Source organism: Homo sapiens, chromosome 9 (assembly GCF_000001405.40).
Source record: "Homo sapiens chromosome 9, GRCh38.p14 Primary Assembly".
Taxonomy (NCBI): domain Eukaryota; kingdom Metazoa; phylum Chordata; class Mammalia; order Primates; family Hominidae; genus Homo; species Homo sapiens.
Window position 1 is genome coordinate 95,095,492 of NC_000009.12, and position 21,678 is coordinate 95,117,169.

The 21,678-nt window shown below is 50.1% G+C and overlaps 2 protein-coding genes and 1 long non-coding RNA gene across 24 annotated transcripts in view, besides 3 other annotated features; 2 read left to right on the forward strand and 1 right to left on the reverse strand.

The window, feature by feature from the left end:
• AOPEP (aminopeptidase O (putative)) overlaps positions 1-21,678 on the forward strand; it is a 423,526-nt gene that overhangs the window by 368,793 nt on the left and 33,055 nt on the right. The window lies entirely within an intron of this gene.
• Positions 3,563-21,678, reverse strand: part of FANCC (FA complementation group C) — a 218,656-nt gene continuing 200,540 nt past the window's right edge. For 13 of the 22 annotated variants that reach the window (XM_006717001.4, NM_000136.3, XM_047422951.1 and 10 more), the window contains 4 exons: positions 19,138-19,219; positions 15,972-16,146; positions 11,575-11,778; positions 3,563-6,359 (listed from right to left, as the gene is read on the reverse strand). In XM_006717001.4, coding sequence (XP_006717064.1) covers positions 6,216-6,359; positions 11,575-11,778; positions 15,972-16,146; positions 19,138-19,219 — 605 coding nt within the window. In that variant the 3' untranslated portion in view covers positions 3,563-6,215. Of the gene's footprint in view, positions 6,360-11,574; positions 11,779-11,829; positions 12,023-14,734; positions 15,855-15,971; positions 16,147-19,137; positions 19,220-21,678 lie in introns of those variants that run through there. The other 9 variants (XM_047422956.1, NM_001243744.2, XM_047422954.1 and 6 more) reach the window with 4 other exon arrangements.
• Positions 6,168-6,667: an enhancer, noted in NCBI's record as "H3K4me1 hESC enhancer chr9:97863941-97864440 (GRCh37/hg19 assembly coordinates)". NCBI's record gives its function as "activates a minimal SCP1, AML or CMV promoter by ChIP-STARR-seq in naive H9 embryonic stem cells {active_cell/tissue: H9 hESC(naive)}" and the evidence as "EXISTENCE:reporter gene assay evidence [ECO:0000049][PMID:30033119]".
• Positions 7,532-8,178: an enhancer, noted in NCBI's record as "H3K27ac-H3K4me1 hESC enhancer chr9:97865305-97865951 (GRCh37/hg19 assembly coordinates)". NCBI's record gives its function as "activates a minimal SCP1, AML or CMV promoter by ChIP-STARR-seq in primed H9 embryonic stem cells {active_cell/tissue: H9 hESC(primed)}" and the evidence as "EXISTENCE:reporter gene assay evidence [ECO:0000049][PMID:30033119]".
• Positions 10,977-13,255, forward strand: LOC107987102 (uncharacterized). Its single transcript, XR_001746847.2, has 2 exons — positions 10,977-11,281; positions 11,397-13,255. It is a non-coding gene; the product is annotated as an uncharacterized LOC107987102 (long non-coding RNA).
• Positions 20,956-21,035: a silencer, noted in NCBI's record as "silent region_20063". NCBI's record gives its function as "represses an Ori minimal core promoter by ATAC-STARR-seq in GM12878 lymphoblastoid cells {active_cell/tissue: GM12878}" and the evidence as "EXISTENCE:reporter gene assay evidence [ECO:0000049][PMID:35858748]".

Sequence of the window (21,678 nt, forward strand, 5' to 3'; positions counted from 1 at the left end):
CGCTTTTTTCATGTGCTGCAAATACTTCTTCTTCCCTCAGTTTACCATGTGTATTGAGATACTTTGGTGAGTTTGCTTTTGATTTCTGTATGGCCAGTTTTACCCACCTTTTCTCCTGTGGTTTCTTGCTTTTGCGTTGGGCATGGAAAGGGTTCCCTGTGGCAGACACAGCCAAGGGAGATGCGTGGGGGGTCCCCACGGCCTGGCCTGAAAGGAGGCATGGAAGTCCGCAGGGATGCGCTGGAGCCTTGGGTCCCGCCCCCTCTTCGTGAGATCGGCATCCTCTCAGCTCCCCTTCCTCCCTCCAAAGGACTGGAGAGTCTGCCCTGAGGCAGTGACCTGCACGCAGGGGTGTGGGTGGGCCGGGAGGGAGTGGCCGGGGCTGGACAGGGTGTGACCATCTGCAAACCACTGAGGAACAAAGAAGTTCTAAATGAAAGACCAGAAAATGCTTTCTGCATTTTGGGAGGAGGGAAGCTTCAATTTTATAAGCGAAATCCTTATTTATCTAAGTAAGTAATGCAGCATCTCCCCAGAGTGGCTGCAGCCTCCCTGCCTCTCCGAAGCAGGGGAACTGCTAGAGGCTTCTCAGAACACACAGATCCCAGAACGAGCCATGCTCCAGATGCCGACGCTGGGAAAGGCAGAGGGCTGGGGAGCTTATTCTGTAACAGTTTTACTCCTGATACCATCTTTTCCCCGTTGATGGCAATGTCTTTATCTTATACTAAATTCTGTACATGTACACGTGATTTACTCGGCGGGAGATGATGTCTGAAACCTAGGCAGTGAGTAGCGGGGAGTGACAGAGGGCCAGCTTCCTGGCTCCCCGACGGGCTGGATGTGGAGGTGGGAGAAAGGGAGGGGTCAAGAGTGGCTTCAGAACTCGCCCTGAGTCCCTGGCAGGATGGAATGGCCATCGGCAACATGGGGAGCTGGTGGGTGCGGGAGGTGGGTGGAGCAGGTGGGCCCACCTGGGATGTGGTAAGCAGAGAGGGTCTTCACACCGCCAGTGGTGATGCCCAACAGGCGGCGGGCTCTCCGGGCCGGTGATCCAGGGGCAGGTGTGGTCCCTCTGCCTAGAGATGCCATGTGAAGCCACGGGCAGGACAGGGTCCAGCCTCTAGGTGGAGTCCAAGGGCGCCCACCAGGAGGGGGTCAGGAGAAGAGGAGGAGCATGTGAGCTGGGAGGAGGTCGGCCCATGAGGCCTGAGAGCTGGCCGCTGGCTGCAGCCACGGGGGCCCTTTCAGCCCCACCCATGTTTCCCTTCATGAGAACCTCACACCAAAGTATGTGTCAGTGCGTGGTACGCTTCACTTTCAGAGCTTGCCTGGCTGTTCATGAACGTTTACTGTCCATATGAATGTTGGAATCAGGTTGTCTATTCGCTGTGTCTACAACCGTTAGTGTCTGTGTCTAGGATGTCGTTCCAGAGGGAGAGGCCAGCAGTTACAGCAGTACCCTCGGTTGGAAGGGGATTGGGCAATGTCTGGAGAAAGTTTTGTCACCACTGGTGGAAGGGGTGCACCGGCACCTAGTGGTGGAGGCCAGGATGCTGCCAACACCCTGCAGTGCACAGGACACCCCCACAACAGGGAGGCATCTGGTCCAAAGTGCTCATGGTGCTGCATTTAAGAAACCCAGATTTAGGTGCCTACAAAACATCTTTCTGAAAAGGCTCACCTCTGCCTGTTCTGGTGCTGGCTGCTGGGCTGTTTCATGGGACGCAACCTTCTAAAATGCTCTGGCATAGGCTAAAGTATAGATGCTGTAATGAGCTGGAGACATTTTTATTGTCTCCATTTGCCCAGTGTTTGGCCCCTTCCTGTAGTTGGGTGATGCTTTTGGTGGTATCCAAGGTACCCAATAACGTTAAAGAAGCTGAAGCCAGATGCGTGATTTCCTAGCATCCCTGGCAGGCCTTTGACCCAGGCTCCTCCATCTGATGCACCTGGGCAGGGGTGTGGAAAGGAGTGGGCACAAGGGCCTTTCTCCCGGCTGGAGTGGGGTCCGGAAGGGCTGGGCAGCACGACTGGCCTTGCCAGAGCATCTGAAGCAAGGCTGGGACTGCTGCTGGCCGGCTCACACCAGGCCTCATCAGCCCAATACCTTTTTCATCAGTTCCCCTTTACTTTCAGCATTCAGTGCACGTTTCTGTTGCTTGCAACCAAAAGTCCTGGGTGAACAAATTCCCTGCCCAGAACAGCAAGTGCAGTAAGACACCATGACAGGAGCGGGAGGGAAGGCCTTTGCTATGAGCTCTCCATTACCAGTTTGGGCTTGAGGGGTGTGATTTGGACCCATGGTATAAACCAATTGTGGAACTGGATTTTAGGAGGAGGCTTGAAGACATGTTATGTACTTACTGTATCTTAATTTTTGTTCTTTGGTTGTAAAATGGCTTAGCGATGATTAATGACTTAGGATTTTTCGACAAAATCTACGGATTTCCCAACATTTGGCAGAGGGAAGAACTTTAGCACCCGAGCCCCCGGGCTGGGGGAGGTGGTCCTGGGCTGGAAACAGAGGAAGAAAAAGGCGAGGGGAGAAGCACGGGGAACTGTTTCTCTTCTTCCTTGGAAAGCAAAAAAATTTTGGATTCCTTGTTGAATAAGGAGAACATTCCTCACATTTGCTCCCACTGTGCAAATCCTCCAGTGCATCCGCCGTCCTCTGGGCAGCGTAAGGCCAGGCTCGGTTTTGACTTCCCAGCATTTTGGGTGGATTCACTCTGCCAGGCTCACCAAGGTCCCTTCTTCTCTGGCTTCCCTGTCAAGACCCCATTCGTAACTTCTCCACTTCAACAGAAAACTCGGCTTCCTCCCATCCCCTGGACTAGCTCCCATTTCTGTCCTAGCTCCCATTTCTGTCCTAGCACCTTGTCCCACCACTTAGACACCAGGCAGGACAGGGTGAAGAACAAACCACGAAACCCTGCCAACCATGGCTGCTCCAGTGAGAGGCTCCTCAGGAGTGTCTTAGCATTTCCTGTCTGCTCCCTCAGGCGCCCTCCTGACCCCGAGAGGGGCCCTAGTGTCCCATAGCCGGAAGCATGGGGAGTGCTGGAAACCCCACTGCAGTGGGGGTCCTGGGGGTGGCCACGGCGCTGCTCGCCTTGGCCGCATCACTCATGCCTCCCAGAGGGGCCTGTGGGGCTGGAGGAGGGGACAGCAGCCTGTGAAGCAACGGAGCGAGCAAGAGTGGGTGGGCTATGCTGGTGGGACGAGGCCTTCAGCTTCAGGGATCAGGGAAGAGACAGAACAATTCAAGTGAGGCTTATGGTCAAGCCTGGCTTAGAGAAAACACAGATATGAAACGCATGTAACCTGATCTTGGCAGGCCCTGCCAGATGCCTGCCCTTGTCCTCCTGCTTCCTCCTTGGTGACAGGACCCTTAGTTTTTAGGTATTTAGTAGCAAGGTTCCCAGGCCCAGAGGCTAAGCCATCCTCGGTCTCTTCCAGGGCACATCTAGGTTTCCTGAGGCCCGAAGCTTCCACTGTCTGGGGCCATCGGGGGAGCTTTTTCCTGAGAGAAGGATTGTAATATTTAATGGATACAACATTAGGTGCAAACTGAAGTTTTATTTAGAATGAAAAAATAGACAACAAATTACAGATTTTAAAGAGCTAAAAAATTCCACAGATGTCACGGAGTCCAGGGGAATAACAGCCTGGTTGGAGGGGCGCTCTCCGCCTCTTCTGTATTTTTGGCTCTCTCTGAGGGTAGTGGTTTTACCAGCATGCTTTATCAAAAACTAAACTATCAGGGAGAGTCTACAAAAACTCCTGCTAGAGTAAGGTCAGATTCCAGACCCTGTCGCACCTCTGAAGACCTTGGTCCAGTTCCTTCCAGGGTGGCTTCACGCCTTGCCATCCCTGCCTCCCTGCGGCTGCCCCTGTGCCCAGGCCCCGCCAACGCCGTCAAGGCCCCCTCGGCCACGCCGCGTCCCCGCCCAGCATCTCGGATGCCATTCCTTCCCGGTGGCACCTGCCCAGGCTTTGCCGAAATCGAAGGCAACAAGAGGGGGAGGTGGGCTTAAGAGTGCCTGCCCGGCCGCCACCTGTCTTGGAGGTGGAGGGAATGGCCGAGGGGTGGCTCCCCCAGCTCCCCACCTTTGAGCATCTCTCAGGCTGGGAAAGGGCAAAGGGCCACATGAAGCCAGCAGGCACTTCAGTGCCACGTCCCCAGAGGGACAGTCCTCCCACCCAGGAACCCCTGGCTGCCCAGAAAGCACCACCGGCAAGGCCGCCTCCACCGCACCCGTGAGAGGACTCGGCAGCTGTGAAGGAACTGGGAGATTCTGCAGATGGGCCGAGGTCAGGGCTTCCAGGCTAGGAAGAAGTCTTCCAGATGCCTAGCTTCACCAGTCCCAGGAGAAGGAAGGAAGGGGCATGGGCAGAGGCCTGGCAGGGGAGGAGGAAGAGGCCAACCCTGTACACAGGACCACAGGACAGGGTGGAGGACTGTCCCAGGAGTCCCTCCACAACAGGAGGCCTGGTCCCAGTGGCCCCTCTCTCTAGGGGTTCCCTGCTGCCACCATGTCCACAGAGGAGTCACAGCTTCCATGGCCCAGCCACAAGTTCTGGCTTAAAGTCAGAACAGGAGAGAGGCCCTCAACTCCAGTGAAGCATGCAGCTCCTTTTTCAACCCCAACACCTCTGACGAAGCATGTTTGTTATATGAAGGCAAGGATCATGATGGCACGAAGCATGTTATATGAAGGCAATGACCATGAGCACGAAGCATGTTATATGAAGGCAATGACCATGATGGCAGCTGCCACCAAAATACTTTACCAGCACACCCTTCTGACTGCAGCATTTCTCAGAAGAAAGGCTCAGGTGAAAAGTTCCTGGAATTTTCCAGATCTTCAGTGGATCTATTAGCATTGCCACATACCAAAATAAGGAATTTCCCTAAAGGTTAACTTCTAATCCAGCAAAACTTTGCTCATACCTCAAAACGGAGCCAAGACTCAGACTAATACACACAAATCAAAATGGACAAAAGCAAGTCTTGACTCACTTGACAAACAGAATAGACACAAAAGAATGTACAACCAATACAATTCCAGAATGTCCCTGAAAGGAAAAAGCACCCTGTACTGACATGAAATAAATGTTAACCTTGAGATTACACTAACAATGCCTTTTTTTAAGAGATGGTCTCGCTCTGTTGCCCAGGCTGGAGTGCAGTGTCATGATCTCGGCTCACTACAACTCCCACCTCCCGGGTTCAAGAGATCCTCATGCCTCAGCCTCTTGAATAGCTGGGATTACAGATGCATGCCATTGCACCCCGATAATTTTTGTATTTTTAGTAGAGATAGGGTATTGCCATGTTAGCCAGGCAGTCTGGAACTCCTGGGCTGAAGTAATCCCCCTGCCTTGGCCTCCCAAAGTGCTGGGATCACAGGTGTGAGCCACTGCACCCAGCCAGGCCAATTCTTTATCAGGAATTTCCAATTCCCATTTCCATTTAACAAGAGAACTAACTAACTGAATTAATCCTGCCTTCTAATGTTTCTGGAACACATCCTCTACCTTCGCCTGCCGGCTCCTCTGATGTCCCAAGGGCCTTTTGGTAGCAGTTAGCATCATTTAGCAAATACAGAGTGGAAAGAGTGTGCCGGAGGCCCGGGCTTGGGTGTGCTGTCTGCTCCTGTGGCCTGTCAGGCAGGTCCAGGGAGACACAAGGGAAGCCTGAGGGACCCTGACTCCCCTTGAAGAATTTCTCCATACAGCAAGACAGTGTGGCTTTATCCCAGATCCCTGACTCCTAAAAAGAGTCTAAAAAGAGCTAAGTTCTCTCTAAATTCTTTAATGGTTCATGACCAAATTCTTGGTTCTAAGACTTTGAATTTTTAAATAATAGATGTGCAGCTTGACTTGGGTAAAAACTAGAAACCTGTTCTCCCACCCAGGCCTTTGCTTTAGTAATTATCAAGCTGACGGTCTGGCCGGGCGGGCACCAGGAGTACCGAAGGCTCACTTGAGTCATTAGTGAACATGTCTGACTGAGTCTGGGCTGAGGGACCTGGCTCTGCATTTTGTAAAATAGATACTAGCAGATTGTCCCAAGATGTGTACAGCTCATTCTCACAGCCCAGCGAGGGCACTTACTCCACAAATGCGTGGCCACAGGTCATCACCTGTCCTGTGGCCCTGGCGAGCCTGATCCCTCACGCCGGGCACCCACACGGCCTGCGTGCCTTCTAGACTTGAGTTCGCAGCTCTTTAAGGAGCTCTCGGGCCAGTTTTTCTGATCTAGGGCTTTCAATGCCAAGACGATTCCATCTGTACAAGGTCTGGTCAAGAAAGCCAATGATCTCGTGAGTTATCTCAGCAGTGTGAGCCATCTGCAATCAGGACAGAAGAGAAGGCAAATTAAAACACTTTCCAGACAGATTTGTCCTTTGTCCAGGGACGGACCATAACCACCCAGTCCCTGAAAGAAGCCCTATCCAGCATTTCCATCAGTTCCAAAGTAAAGCATCAGGGGCTCTAGTTTGCAAGGTGATTAGCATAGCAAGTCTGTCTCCAAGGCTGGCTACACAGTGAGCGGTGCCATTTCCTAACGAGCCTCCTCGCATTGAGCTCAGCTGCCAACAGCCTTAGACTCATAAAGGCCACAAACAAGCGCTGCTTGCAATCAGAAGTGCTTCTCAGAATGCCAGTCACAAGTTGTGGGATGATCCACTGTGGGGAACAAAGGCAAATGAGCATGCTGTGGCTTGACTTTCTGCAAAAGGCTCACACGAACATGAGAATTGGAAAATACCACCTGTTTTCACAGAAACAGCCCCTGGCATCCCTGGGCTAGCAACCGGACCTACTTGCTTTTTAATAGGCCTCTAAGGTTTTAACACCTGATTCTTGCGGGAGAGCAGGAGACACAGCCTCAAGGCATTCGTACTTGTTGGTGCCTGTAAGTATTTTCCTAAAAACTTCGGTTAAGAAAAAAGGGAAGGGTGAGAATCTTACAATTTAGCTGTGTGGGGAATTTATGGTTCTTTAAGCACAAGCAGTATTAAGAAGGCTTAAGTTTTTGAAAGAGTAACCGATATATTCACTTAGTGTGTGTCAGTTTATACAGAACCCGCAAATGTTTAATTAGCCAGAGCAGCCCAAGGTCAGCTTCCTCTGGAAGGGTTGGGCCGTTCTGGGAGGGTGAACAACTGCCTTGGTTTTCCCAGGACTATTCTGGTTTTACTGCCTCAGGTCCGACAGCCCAGGACACCCTTCAGAACTGGGCCTTCCACCTCCTGACCACCACTAAAGGGAGCCTCTTGTCGCATGCGCACTGTGTGAATGGCAGCGTGGGGACGCAGAGCTAAGAGTAAACGACGTGGTGTGGACCATGACGTTCGCTCTCCTCGGCCCCCCCTGGCAGCACACAGGGCCTGCAGCCGGCCTGCAACGAGCCCGCCAGGGTCAGTGCAGCCAGCACGGGGGCTCCGGCTGTAGCCCAGGCACGTGCCAGTGTGTCCCTGGGCGTCTGTATTGCTATCACTTGGTTTTTACTCAGAAATGACAGGCACATAGTGCTGATGGCCTTCGGTAGATGCAGCCTGTCCTTCATCAAGGAAACAATGTGAGCCTGCTGTGGACCCCTTTCAGTTAATATACCACCCAGACCCTGAGCGGGAGGACTGTCCCCCGCTCAGGGGCTGGCCATGCCCATGCTGATGGGCTTGGCCATGTCTGAAGAAAGGCCGAGTTGTCATTACAAATCCAACCTTGCATCTTCCTTACACACCAACACTCCTGGGTGGGCCCCTTCCCAGCTCTCTAGTCACATGCAAAAATTCGCAGCCCTGCAGCCGCCTGGAAAACCTGCCTCCCTGCTGGCCTTGGCTGGTGCACCAAGAGTGGGTTCAATTCATTTTGAGTTCAACGACTACAGAATTGAACTCTGCATCTCGGAATCTAGCTAACTTTTGCTGTTGTTGCTGTGGCCCAGCAGCAGGAGGCAGGAGAAGGAGAAGTGTGAATCCAGGACAGGACAGGAGGTGGAGCCCCAGGGGTGGACTCCATGCAGTCCTCTGCTCTGTGCCGGCCTCCTGCAGGCACAAGTGAGGGAGCAAGTGGACGGCTGGGGCAAGGCAGAGGAGTGCCTGGCGAGAGGCCAGGAGCCAGAGAGGCAGGAGAACCGCAGGGACGTTGGGCAGGGCCTCATGGATGGCGTTCTGGGGAAAATCGGAGGGCCGAGGTCAGAGAAGAGGATTCCGGGACAGCCGGGGAGTGGGCCTCCAGGTGCCTGGAGAAGAGCCCACTGCGCAGAGCTCACTGCAGAGGCCACACAGGAGGCAGGCTGTGGGCAGATGGGGCTGCAGGACCAGTGCGTCCTTTAGGTCAGATGGAGCCACTCGCTCAAGCCATCTCCAAGAGGGTGCAAGGGCTCTGAAGAGAGATAGTGGCCTTTGCCTTGAGCTGGCACTGCTCTCCAAATCTGGATGCCAAGATAGAGGGCAGAGCCTGGGACCAGCTGGGAGGTGGCTGCGCTCGTGCTAGGTCCTGAGGGTGGAGAGACCCAAGCTGTAGGAGGGAAAGGCCGTCCCACCAAAGCAACCATCTGGCCACCACCTGCTCGTGGGCCAAGCAGACCCGGCTCTTTCCAAGGTGCTGTCGGCAGAGGAACTGACAAAGGCCAGGAGAGGCAGGGGTGGTGGGAGGGATCCTTCCCCAGAGGCCCTCCCTGCCACGCGGCCACCGCAGCGAAGGCTTCTCATTAGGAAGACTGACGTGTCAATAAAGATGGTTTCAAAACATCCGAAAGGACAGCCCCCAGGAGGTGCTTTCACCACGATGGGTGCCCAGATGGCCAGCATCCGTCCCTGACAGAGTCAGTGCATGAGCGCCACACTGGCGTCTGCTCTGGGAATGGGCTTCTGCTGTGTGTGTCTTCTCTGTGGCGGAACTGACTTGGGGGATGTGATGACAAAGCACTGGGGCCCTCTGTGCTCCTGAGGGTTCCCGTGTGGATCCGCAGCAGGGGCTGAACCACGTGTCAGGAGGGACTGCCCCACACAGGATGCAGGCTGGCCCTTGCAGCATCTGGCTTACTCCCAGCAATGTCTCTGGGCCCAGTCTTGAGGGCGATCTGCTTTGAATGTGGACTGAAAGTTTCCTCCGAGTAGATGGAAACATGGCATCAGGATAACTGAAGCAGAGACCTGGGTGTCTCTAGGGTGCTTGCTCTGGGTGATTTTCTCTCACACCCTGTCGGCAGGGCTGGAGTCACCAAACTCCCACGCTGACCCCTGCTGCTAAGCCTTCTCCACTCACACGGGCCACAGGGTTGGGGAGGAAGTGCCTGAGCTGGAATTGTCCTTGTCACAGGGCAGGGCTGACCATCTCCCCACTGCCCCTCCCCAGCCCCCCATAAGCACCTTCCCACTGTTTCTGTGAGTTCGACTTTTTAGATCCCACCCATAGGTGAGAGCATGCATTTGTCTCTCGCGTCTGGCTTATTTCGCTCAGTGTAAAGCCCTCTAGGTTGGGCCGCATTGTTGCAGGTGTGCATTTTATAAGAGTACACAATAGATTCTCGAAAGCATTCTCGCTGTGCTGGGGCCGGGCCCAAAGAGGTGGCACCTGGCATGTGGCAGCCAGTCGTCTTTAGCCCTGGGCCACCCTCATGACTCGGATTCGTCTTAGCTGAGACACCAGCACCTGGGAGGCACAGCCTGGGCCCACTCCACAGGACTGTCCTACCAGGATGGAGACAATCTCCTGGCCCTGGTTCTTGGCAGGTGGGTCATGTTACGGGGACTTTCTGTACATGGACATTCACGTTTCAGTCAGGCCCGGCCTGGACGGGAGCAGGAGGGGCCTCTGGGGACTGGGAATATTCCTCTCGAGTTGGCTGCTGGCTGCACAGGTGTTGTTGGTTTGTGAAATTCATCAAGCTGTGTATTTTCTGTATGTATATGTCAACAAAAGTACAAATAAAATAAAAAATAAAACAAAACTCCCAGAGCCAGCATGCTGGTGCTTTTTCTGAGATGAGTATTTTTTTAAATTGTGGTAAAATATACATAAAATGTGCTGTTTTACCCATTTGTGTAATTTGGTGGCATGCAGTATGTTTACAGTGTTGCACAGCCATCAGCACTGGCCGTCTCCTGCCCCTTTCCATGATCCCCACACTGACTCCCCACCCTCTGCCTTGGGAAACTCTAGCACTTCCTCTCCCTGGACTTGACTCTTCCAGGTGCCTCACCTAAGTGACTCATACAACATCCTCGTTTCTGGCTTATTTCAACAGCACAGTGTCTTCCAGGTTCATTCATGTTGTAGCACTGTCAGAACCTCTTTCCATCTTCAGGCTGAACAGTACTCTCTTGTGGGTACAGATCACACGGTGCATTGCTTGTCCCTCTACAGGCGTTTAGGCCATCTCTGCCTGCTGGCTGCTGAGAATAGTGCTGCCCTGAGCACTGGGCCAGATGGCCCTCCAGCCCCTGCTTTCGGCTCTCTGGGTTATAGACCTAGGAGAACTGCCTGCCACATGGTAATTCCAAGTTTGGCTGTTTGAGGAACCACCCCATTCTTCTCCACAGTAGCTGCACGACGTTAATGTCCCCACCGGGAAGCATATGAGTGTTCCGGTTCCCACGCATCCTCACGGGCGTTTCTTTTCTCTCCTTGCTGACAGCCATCCTGATGGCTGTGCAGTGCATCTCGCTGCACTTTGCCTTTCCCTGACCACTCATGCCCTTTCTGTGAGCATCTCCCCACATGCCTACTGGCCATTTGTACATCTTCTTTGGAGAAATGTCTGTTCAAGTCCTTTGCCCATTTTTGAATTGGGTTGTTTATCTTTTTGTTGTTGAGTTATAAGAATTCCTTATGTATTCTGAATACTAAACTCTAATCATATATATTATTTCCAGATATTTTTCTCCCATTCTGTGAATTGTGTTTTCACTTTCTTGACAGTATCATTTGATGCACAAAAGCTTTTAATTTTCATAAAGTCCAATTTATCTATTGTTTTCTTTCATTGCTGTGCCTTTGGTATCATATCCAAGAAATCATTGCCAAATCTAATGTCACAAAGAGTGCTCACTTTTGACTTGGACCGTTTTTTACCCCTCAAGTCAAGTGGGCTTCAGGAAGGATTTCTTTGTAATAAACCAATTTTTTTAAAGATTAACAGAATTCTTTGCACTGTTGCAGTGAATAGCATTGTGGTTGCTTTGCGAGCCCATTCTCATCGTGGCCTTACTTCTTTCCATGAGGAGGAGGAGAGCAGCACACTGCGATGGAAAGAAATGTACGTAGGGGGACAGGAGACCTGGCTTCTACCGCAGGCTTTGGCAGCAAGCCGTGGGCCCAGGAGATGGCATCTCCTGTCTCTGAGCCTCTGTTTTCTCTTCTATGACATAAAGGTGCTGGAAGGGGCAGGCTCTGGGGTCCATCCCAGCTGTCAACCTCCTTGACCATTTATCTGTGCTGGGCAGCATCCTGGTACACACACTGTGCAGAGGCCAGACCCTCGGACAGGTAACCCACCTCTCGCCTGGAGCAGAAATGAGTACTAGGATGCTGGACCACAGGGAGACTTACCAGGGTGATGACATCCCAGGCGATCGTGTGGCCTCCAGGAGCCCAGAGCAGGAAGTTGAGGAGAAGGTGCCTGATCAGCTGTTGTGCAGGAGCTCTGAGGTCTGTGTCTGTGCCCTGTCCTGCTACCGTCTGCAGGTCCTGGGCTGAGAGGCTGCTGCTTCTGGACATTGCCAGGAGGTGGCCCAGCACGGCCTTCACCTGGACCTGGGCAATAGTATTTCACAGGGGAGAGGTTAGGAAGAGGCAGGACAGACATACTTCTAGGATTTATTTATTTGCTTTGAAACAACCCCCAGAAACGGGTAAGCACTGGCCCCTGAGAGAGGGAGCTAGGCAGCGGCCGAATTTACACTCGATTTCACACAAACCCAAATGGGCGGAATGGAAATTTCTTGACTTTCTTTCGTCTTGCTCACCAAGCAGTCAGGGCACCATGCCAGGAACTGACCTTTTTTTGTATAAAAGGAAACAGAGAAAAGTTCTCAACAGAATGTAGTCAGATTTTTATATTGTGGGAAAAAGAACAAAAGGCTCCTTGAAGACTCGCCTATCACAGCCACAAATCAATTAAAGCCCCACGCAGTCAGACCTCCGCCGAGCCAGTGTTCCCATACGAATGTAGGCTTGCCTTTGCTTCTTGCTATATTGGGGGTCAGGGCGGGGGGTCGGGGGGAACACACACACATGCACGCACGTGTACACAAGCACGGTCATACACACATGCATGCACACACAAGAACACATTTGTTTTAGATGCCGGAACAATCTGTTCATACGTGTTTAATGCTCAAGCAGAGGCCACAAGTCTGTGGAACCCACATAATAATGGTAATTATAAGTCTGCAGGTTGCTTTTGCATAAAAAATACTCATTCCATGCTGAGATGTTTCTGCTTGCTACAAGAATGGTACACCCAGTCGTGACTTGGAAAACAAAGCAAAGCAAAAACCGAAAGCCCATAGCTCCAAATGCCACATGGAACTCGTGAACAGCTATGTTCCATCACTTCTGAAAGAATACTTAGGCCTATTCTGAGAATTCCCATGACCGATTTTATGGATTTTGTGTGAGGCGTTTTTTTTCCCTGGAAGTCAAGGCCTCATTCAATGAAGTCTGTCATAAACTCCAGTACACTGGGTGTGTTGTGTGAGCTCCTCTGACCACAATACAAGACCGTGAGAAACTGCACCATCGGGCTCTTCCACGGGGAGCGGCAGCGCTCCAGCAGGGCAGGCCTCACTCTCCCCACCTCGCCCCTCAGCCGGCCCAGCCTGCCGGGTCTGATGGTGTCTACGGGAGCCCAAGGCCATTCTGCCATCTAACTGGGTCTGCAAAAATGTCAGGGTTTAGGAGGCTATGCCTTTATATCTGTTTTTTCTCTTGACCCACAACCGACTTTCTGCCCTTGTCCAATAATCCCTAAGATGGGGTCTATCTTCCTTTATGTCTGGCCCAGACTGTCTTTCCCTTCAGAGGCCGTCCATGCTCATGGGCTTCCACTTGAACACCGATAACTAACTTTAAACATGTCCTAAGTTTTTCAGGAGAAAGATAAAAGCTTTCTTTTCTTTTTAAAGTATTTTTTATCCTGCATTATAAAGACATATATGCTTACTATGGAAAATTTGAAAAGAGAAAAAGAAGAACCATTAAAATGATCTATAACTCTACCATCCAAAAAGACTCACTGTTAATAATTCGGTTTATATACTTCTTGTCTTTTTTCTACGCACTGAGACCATACCACTCACTACACATAATGCCTTGTATCTTTCATTTTTCTCTCCATAATGTACTATAAGCAGTTCAGTTCACTGTATCTATAGAACATGCTCTTCAAGACCTTTTTTTTTTTTTGGAGACAGAGCCTTGCTCTGTCACCCAGGCTGGAATGCAGTGGTGCAATCTCTACTCACTGCAACCTCTGCCTCCTGAGCTCAAGCGATCCTTCCATCTATCTCAGCCTCCCGAGTAGCTGGGACTACAGGCACACATTACCATACCTGGCTAATTTCTTTATTTATTTTTTTGTAGAGACAGGGGTCTATGTTGCCCAGGCTGGTCTCAAACTCATGGATTCAAGTGATACGGCCACCTCGGCCTTCCAAAGTGCTGAGATTACAGGCATGAACCACCACACCCGTCCAAGAGCATGATTTTTCATGGTATGTAACAGAATGCTATTCCATGGTTAGGATATACCACACTTTATTTGGCCAGTAGCCTTACTATTGAAAGTTCAGGCCATTTCCCATTGTTGTATTTATGAACAATGCTGTGCTGAATATTCTTATACATAAGCCTTTGCATGGATCTCTATTCCCCAGGGTAATTCCTAGAAGTGGAACCACAGGGTTAAAGGGTATGAACCCTTGCCTGATTTTTTTTTTTCCTTTTTTTCTCTAGGCATCATTGTACCTTACTGATTCTTAAGGGTATCTAAACGACTTTTTTTTATTTTGTTGTGATCTGATTCAGTTGTTGGCAAAAGGAGATGAACTCTGGCTGCTGGTGGAAAGGGTGGCTTGCCCATGAGTGGGACAGGCCTTCTCACAGGCAGGACACATCCTGGGCGGGGACACGCTTGGTCTTTGCACCCATGTTCTTCACCTCAAGGACATCCACAGAGGCAGTGACGCCAGGCCCAGCACACGATGCGGGGATACGCCACCAGCTGATTTAATTGTGCCTTTTTAAGTAAATGCACAAATGCAGAGATACTGCTAATTTCAATTCAATCACATACGAATCATGCTTTCTAACACAGTTCACAGTTTGTCTCTCAAGCCTCCCAACAGACCATCAAGGGATTAAAGCTCACAAAACCCAGGAAAACAAGAGGTACGTATCATTCATTAAACTAAAATCCCCTTCCCAGGACGCCACATACACCAATGCCTCAGGCAGGCACCAGCAAGGAAGGGGCTCTGGAGTCACCAACATGAGCACTGGATTGAACTGCCAGGCAGATGGGCACCTGTGACAGAATGGGGGGAAGGGAAATGGATGCCTGCCACTGCCCCACTCACATTGAGCCAATACGTTCTCATCCAAAATCCTAGGCATCCCCTGAGGGAGAACTACGCAAGGGTTTTATTTTTTCATAAAAAAGGACCAAGTTAGCTAGTAGAAGATGTGCCAATGTAGAACTTTCTAGAAATTAAGTGTTATTGAATAATTTATTTCTTTATACTTCAAAAGTGATTCTCTGTCAGTAACCTTTTGACTGTGATGGAATTGAACACATATCTACCAACTTAGCTTATTCAGAATCAAATAAGACAGAATATAAAAGGGCTTTAAAAACCATATGTGCCCCGTACATCTTATTACTGTTAAAAACATCAACCAGGATTTTCCTTAGCTTAACGTGATCTTTTAAAGGGGAAGAAATAAAAAGCTTTCTTTTTAATCAGACAGCAATCCTCAAATACATACGTGGGTTATAATTTTTTCACAAAGCTTTATTTCTGATCCAAAATAAATTATCACCAAATTTCAACTTTTTAAAATCTAAAACTATTTTTCTTTCCTATGCCATGCAAGCCTTTAAACAAAATACGCAGACATCTTTATTAGTCTGTGTGTTTTCAAACAACAGAAAATGCCAAAGCCAAGAGAAGCAGGGCTCTATACAAAATGAGCCTTGTCCTCTTTAACTACTAAGATCAGCATAGAGCACTGGCAGTTGAAGTTTTAAGAACCTAGCAAATCAATGCTTGCAAGGGAGGTGCCAATGCCTTTAATCAAAGCATTGCTTCCTGTAATTATTATATTCCACATAAAATAACAACTGTCTTTGCCACAGACAGTTATCCAGTCCCATACTTAGCTGCTCTGTTATTTAGGAAATGACCAACTTCTTTTTCAGAAGCAAAGTGGTTAATATCATCTGATTACTTTAGTAAGAGATGTAAATAAAGCCAGTAATGTGAGGATCTGTTGACTGATCCAAGAAAGGAGACAGTCAAGATGGAAGCAAGCCCTGGCCGGGCTGCTGGGGAGCGAGACAGGGCCCTGGCTGTGGCCAGGCTCTGCTGCCGGCACACCCCTCAGAACAGCCCGCCTCTGCAGGGCACGCCTTGGAGGACGCGACCCTGGGGCAGATATGGCAGCTGAGCAATAACAGATCAAATGACCTTGGGGAAGAAGGGTCTTCGTTTTGCAGGAGAATGGGCTGGCAGCGTCTCGTCTCTGGCCACCTCGGTGGGGACAGGAGAACGCCTCTGACCACAAGGCTGGAGATCACCATGCCTGCAGGTTGCCATGACATATGCCATCTGTGGGCAGAGCTCAGGTGTCATGGAAGCCAAGCCCACAACAGAGCCCCTCTCTGCAAGCTCCTCTCAGCCCCCCAGAGCCCACCCCAAACACATGCAGTGGGGCCTGCTACCCACCATAGTCTGTGCTCTCTGCTGCCTCCCATCACGGGGGCCGTAGTAGAAGGCCAAGAGCCACAGCAGGGCCGTGGGGGGTTCGGCTGCCGACATCAGTAATTGCTCTGCCACCATCTCAGCCCATCCTCCGAAGTGAATGAACAGGAACCAGCTCTCAAAGGGACCTCCGCAGGACCTGGAACAGAGGCAGAACACATGGCAGTTGACAACCTAAATTCTTCTTCCTTTGGGTTTTTAAAGCAACTTTAACGTTTGCCAACGGTTGGCTTAAATTGTACTTATCCACTGAAGTGCAACCTGCAAGGAATACAATTTAGATTCAGAAAGCCTGTCCAAACGCCACTCTGCACCATCACAGGACATCGAAAGAGTGCCTCTCAGGACCCCCGTGAGGCCTGAGGCCTTTGGACATCGGAGTCTTTAATCCAGGTACGTTCAGTGAGGACAGGCACTGAAGAAGGAAGACTGCGGCCATGACCAACAGGAATGTGGCAGGATGTGGCGGCACACCTCCCTGCCTTCTGAGATGGGGAGAAAGAGGTGGAGGGTAGGACGCAGGCAGAAACATGGGCTATTTCCCTTCTGACAAGACGCAAAGTTCAGGTGGATATTTCAGCAACTACGAATTTTTAATGAGCTGCTGTCATCATGGGTGCATCAATGCCAGAAAGTTGAAGTGTTTGTGAAGCTATCCCCTCGCCACACTGGCAAATGGGAGTTGCAATACTTGTTTTAAGGGTAGAATTTGCTTGAGATAAGGGCCTACTAATTGTGTGCAGTGCCGGTCTCAGCAGGTGAACATCTCCCTTGGAGAGGATGGAACAGACCAGCCTGAGATCACATTAGATGAGAACATTCCTTCTGGACTGGGGCAGTGGCTGGAACAGGAGTGTTCCTGGCCCCTTTGTTGGATCTTCCTGCATGTTCCTCTGCCTGGCCCATGGAATTCCCAAGCTCTAAGCACTGTCCTCGCCTCCCTGGACACTGCTGTCCTCCTGCCCCAGTCCTCCCTGAGAACAAGTGGTTAAATGTTCTACATTTGAGCAACAGAGACATGTCCCTCTTTCCCAGGACATGGTCAGAGCTGATGCTCTGGAGGCCACGTTGGCTGTGGGCTGGGTTAGGCTGTACCAGAGTGAGGAGGGGACTCTGCCATGCCTCTTCCCTGCAGGCACCATGTCAGGGTAGACAGATGCACAGAGCAGTGAGGCTCCCTCATGCTCCCAGCTCCCAGGTTGGCAGCGTGACTGGATCAGGATCAGAGACCGGTCTGGTCCTTCCCTCTGTCTTCCACCAGTAGCTGAATGCACAAGCAGTCCCATGTGGCCACCTGAAAGGTATCTCATGGCTCCAAGGTCTGGATTGAAGTGGGAGCCCCACGAGGTCTAAGTCCTGTTCTGCAGCACCACATGCGCCCTTTCTGGTTGCTGTTTTATTCCAGTCTTCACGCATTTGACATCACACATTCTGAGTGATGGTGGAGAGGGTGGGTAGAGAGAAGAGAAAAACACCCAGGGCACCCACTGCACAACATGTCTCAATCACAGGGTGGGCTGTTTATGCCACCTGCATCTACGTCCTGTCCCCGAGTTAAGATTCTTCAAGGTCCAGCTCTGTGTAACACCAGGACAACCAGGGAGGGTGTGTGGGGGGCCGACTGGCCACTGCAGGCTATTCATGTGGCCAACCCCGCAGCCTCCATTGGCTGCAGGCCTTTTTTGTCTGGTCTCTGTCGGTAAGAATCATGGTGAGGAAGGAGTGAGCAGCTGGCACCCAAGCCATCAATCACGGAGCTGGACATAGGTGTGTCACCCATTGTCTGTGTCAACTCGGTGTGAGACTACAGAGAATTCCAGGAGTGAAAAGTGGCAAAAGGAACAAATAAGATAGTCTTAGTAGGCTAGCAGGGACAATGAATAAAATTATACTCTGAAAGAGGAAGCCAAAGAGTGTTATGATACAAGGAATTTAGCAAGGCATAAATGTGAATGCTTTCAAGAAAATCACACACATAAGAGGGTACCTAACACTACTGTTAAGAAATTAACAAGCCAGGCACAGCGGTCCACACCTGTAATCCCAGCACGACGGGAGGCCAAGGCAGGAGGATTACTTGAGCCCATGAATTTGAAGCAATACAGCAAGACCTCTACAAAAAAAAAAATTTTTTTTTTTTTTTGGAGACGGAGTCTTACTGTCACCCAGGCTGGAGTGCAGTGGCACGATCTTGGCTCACTGCAAGCTCCACCTCCTGGGTTCATGCCATTCTCCTGCCTCAGCCTCCCGAGTAGCTGGGACTACAGGCACCCGCCACCACGCCCGGCTAATTTTTTGTATTTTTAGTAGAGATGGTGTTTCACCGTGTTAGCCAGGATGGTCTCGATCTCCTGACCTTGTGATCTGCCTGCCTCAGCCTCCCCAAGTGCTGGGATTACAGGTGTGAGCCACCGCGCCCGGCCACAAAAAAATTTAAACATTAGCTAGGTGTGGTGGTACACGCCTGTAGTCCCAGCTACTCAGGAGTCTGAGTGGGAGGATCACCTAAGCGCAGGAATTTGAGGCTACAGTGAGATGTGATCATTCCACTGCACTCCAGCCTGAAAGACAGAGCAAGACCTTATCTCTAAAAATTTAAAACAAACCAACCAACCCAGAATTTATATTAGAATAGATTTTCTCATTTTAGAGAGATTTATTAGAGAGAAGGAAAAGCAAGCATTTAACATTCCACCCTACTGTGTAGGAGTTTCAAATCTCCTTCCCTAGAGAGGTAGAGGGAAGACCACAGGACCCAAACAAGTGCCCTTTCCCTTCTGTGCGGCCAGGGAGGGGTTCCCAGCAGGTGGGTGCTGCTTTTTCCAAGGCCTCTTCTTTTTATTGTTATGCCTGTATATTTCAAAATCTAAAACCAGACGTTAATGTAGAAAACATTTCGATACAGGTATTGGCACATGCATACATGCGCATGCCTATTCATCCTGACCTGCTCCAAGCCATCCGTGCAGCCATGCGCTTCCTCCACTTCTCACTTCACCATGGTGCTCACCTGTTTGGTGATGGTCCCAGACCAGTAATGCCTTCCTCTGTCAGCCCTGCTCAAAGGGCAGATGAGGATCTAGGGAAACCATGTGTGAAGTAGATTTGGGAGTGGTCAGTGTTTGCTCACCCATGAGTCTGGTCTTCAACTGCTTCTCTGAGCAGTTCAGAAATATGCTTCAGTGTCTGGAGCCAGTGTCCCCGAGGGATATCTGCGGGTGGAGAGAGATACGTCAGAGGGCAACTGAGGAAATGTCAAGCCCATGAGGAACCACCTGCAGGGATGACCTGAAGAGTCTTTGGGAGACGCCCTTTACTTCTGGTTCACGGAACCCAATACTGTTCTCATGCTTTTCCCAGCCAGTACCTATCTCTTAAGCCTGGGGAAGTAAGATCTGTCCATGTCACACAGAGTTGAACATCAAAGAATCTAATCTTTTAATTTTAGTTTTGTGGGGTTTTAAGACACGATCTTGCTTGGTCAGAGGCTGGAGTGCAGTGGTACGATCCTGGTTCACTGCAGCCCCAACCTCCTGGGCTCAAGCGATCTTCCTACCTCAGCCTCCCCAGTAGCTGGGACTACAGGGGTGCACCACCATGCCCAGCTATTTTTAAAATTTTTTTGTAGAGATGAGGTTTCACTATGTTTCTCAGACTTGTCTCAAATTCCTGGGCTCAAGTGATCCTCCCGCCTTGGCCTCCCAAAGTGCTGGAATTACAGGCATTAATCACCACGCTTGCCCTCAAGTAATTTTAAATTCAGGTACATGGAAGTAGCTAGAGATTGCATAAGCAGCCCCCGCTGAGACTGGGAAATGCCGGGTTGCGGATGCCCTAGGTTTCTTCTTTTCTACCTACACACTCCTCCATCACTAATGTGTTGATTTCAAAATAGACGGAGACTGTAGTAAAGCAGCCAATAAGGAATTAGGAATAGACTGCCTGACTGCTTTCCTAGGGCTGTGATGAATTCACAATATGATTTCAGGTTTACAGTGGAAAAAAAGGCCAGGAAAGAAAATAAGTGAGCATTATGCAAACAAATGTCTTTTCTTGAGTGAGCTGCTCTGGTTTCACAGTCATCCTGTGGTTTTAAATACAGCTGAGCAGCACGTATCTGCAGTTCTGTGCAGCATCTGCAAAAGTTTTCACATAGTGATAGATGCTATAATCGAACACACAAGGAAGGTAAGGCGAGTGATGGACAAACTGCTGCTACTCCACAAGGCCAGCGCCTCCCTCCTCTGAACTCCCGCGGCCCTTGGTGCACAGCCTTTTGAAGGTATTTTTCGTTTCTTCCTTTTACTAGCTATTTAGATGTTTATTTCGCATTTCCTCCACTTGTAGTGTCTACACAGTCAGGGCTCGTAAGTGATCCTCTTTTACACCCCTCTCCCGGCCTTCACAATGGGTATGAAATAAATTTCTGATAAACAGAAGATCATGCCACTAAAAAACACTTCTTCAATCTGTGACCATAACACTGTTTCCCAAAGTAATATACAGACAGCTCTTCTAGGAACTAGCACAAGAGGTTCTTGTACTTCTGCCCGAAGCCACCTATTTATATTTGGACATAAATCTACAAGTTACACAAACGGAAAGGTAAAGGGTTGGGCCCATGCCCATGCACCACCTCACCGTTTATTTACTATTTCCAAACTGAGACACTAACAACTCCAGTACATTTTCTGGAGCTCACTCAGCGTCCCCTGTTGGCTGACTTTAGGCTTTGCTGATCTGACCTAAGCGTAAGGTGAACCCTGGGAGAGTGAATTCCTCATTTTTCTGTCTTGTTAATAAAGTTTTCCCAAGAGTTTTCATAAAACTGTCACCCAGAGATCCCACCCCTAGCTCCAGCATCTGAGAAGACAGTGTTAGGGGATCACCCTGGGCAAGAACCTACATCTTCTCGAAAAAGGAAGAGGAATTTAGGTTTTGTAAAATGCTCTGAAACTTTGAATCATTTGCATTTCTCAAACAGATCTACTCACTCAAGTCTCAGAAAAAAGGCAGGCCCAAAATGGCATAAAAAGGAAATGTGACTGGCTCGTTCCCTTCTGTCTCCTCTCCTCCCATGCTCCAATAAGGCCCCTTTCTGGCTGGCGCAGTCTGTGCCCATGTCAGGACTGCCTTCCATCAGGTTTCAGGCCTCAGAGGGAAAGGATGCCCTTATTCTCTATTTCCGAAATGTCTCCTAAGCGTGAGCTCACAGCCACATTCCTGGATCAACACCAGTCGAATGAAGGCTGGAACCATCACTTCCCCAGCTGGATAGCCTTTGGAAGGCTGGCAAAGGATATCAGGAGAGGCTGTGGATGAAGCACCTTACTGAACTCTCTCAAAATCCTTCCCTTAGCTTGGTTAGGGGAAACTTCCCCTGCATTTCCTCAGCTTCATCCATCATTTTGTCTTTTCTTCTGCAACAAGGCTGCACAGAGTAGAAAGAATGAAAAGCAAACGAATGTACTGTTTTATTCTGACTCAGCCAAGTCTTAGCCTGTTCCTGGCATCTGGTGGATCTGGTTGGCACCAGAAGAGCCTGTGTTATCTGGAGGCAGACTAGCAACACCTACCAGAGGCCATTGTTTTTTTGTTTGTTTTCTTCTTTTGGTAAGTGATCACAACTGGGAAGCCAAGCAGACTCTCATATCAAAATCCACAGAATGTG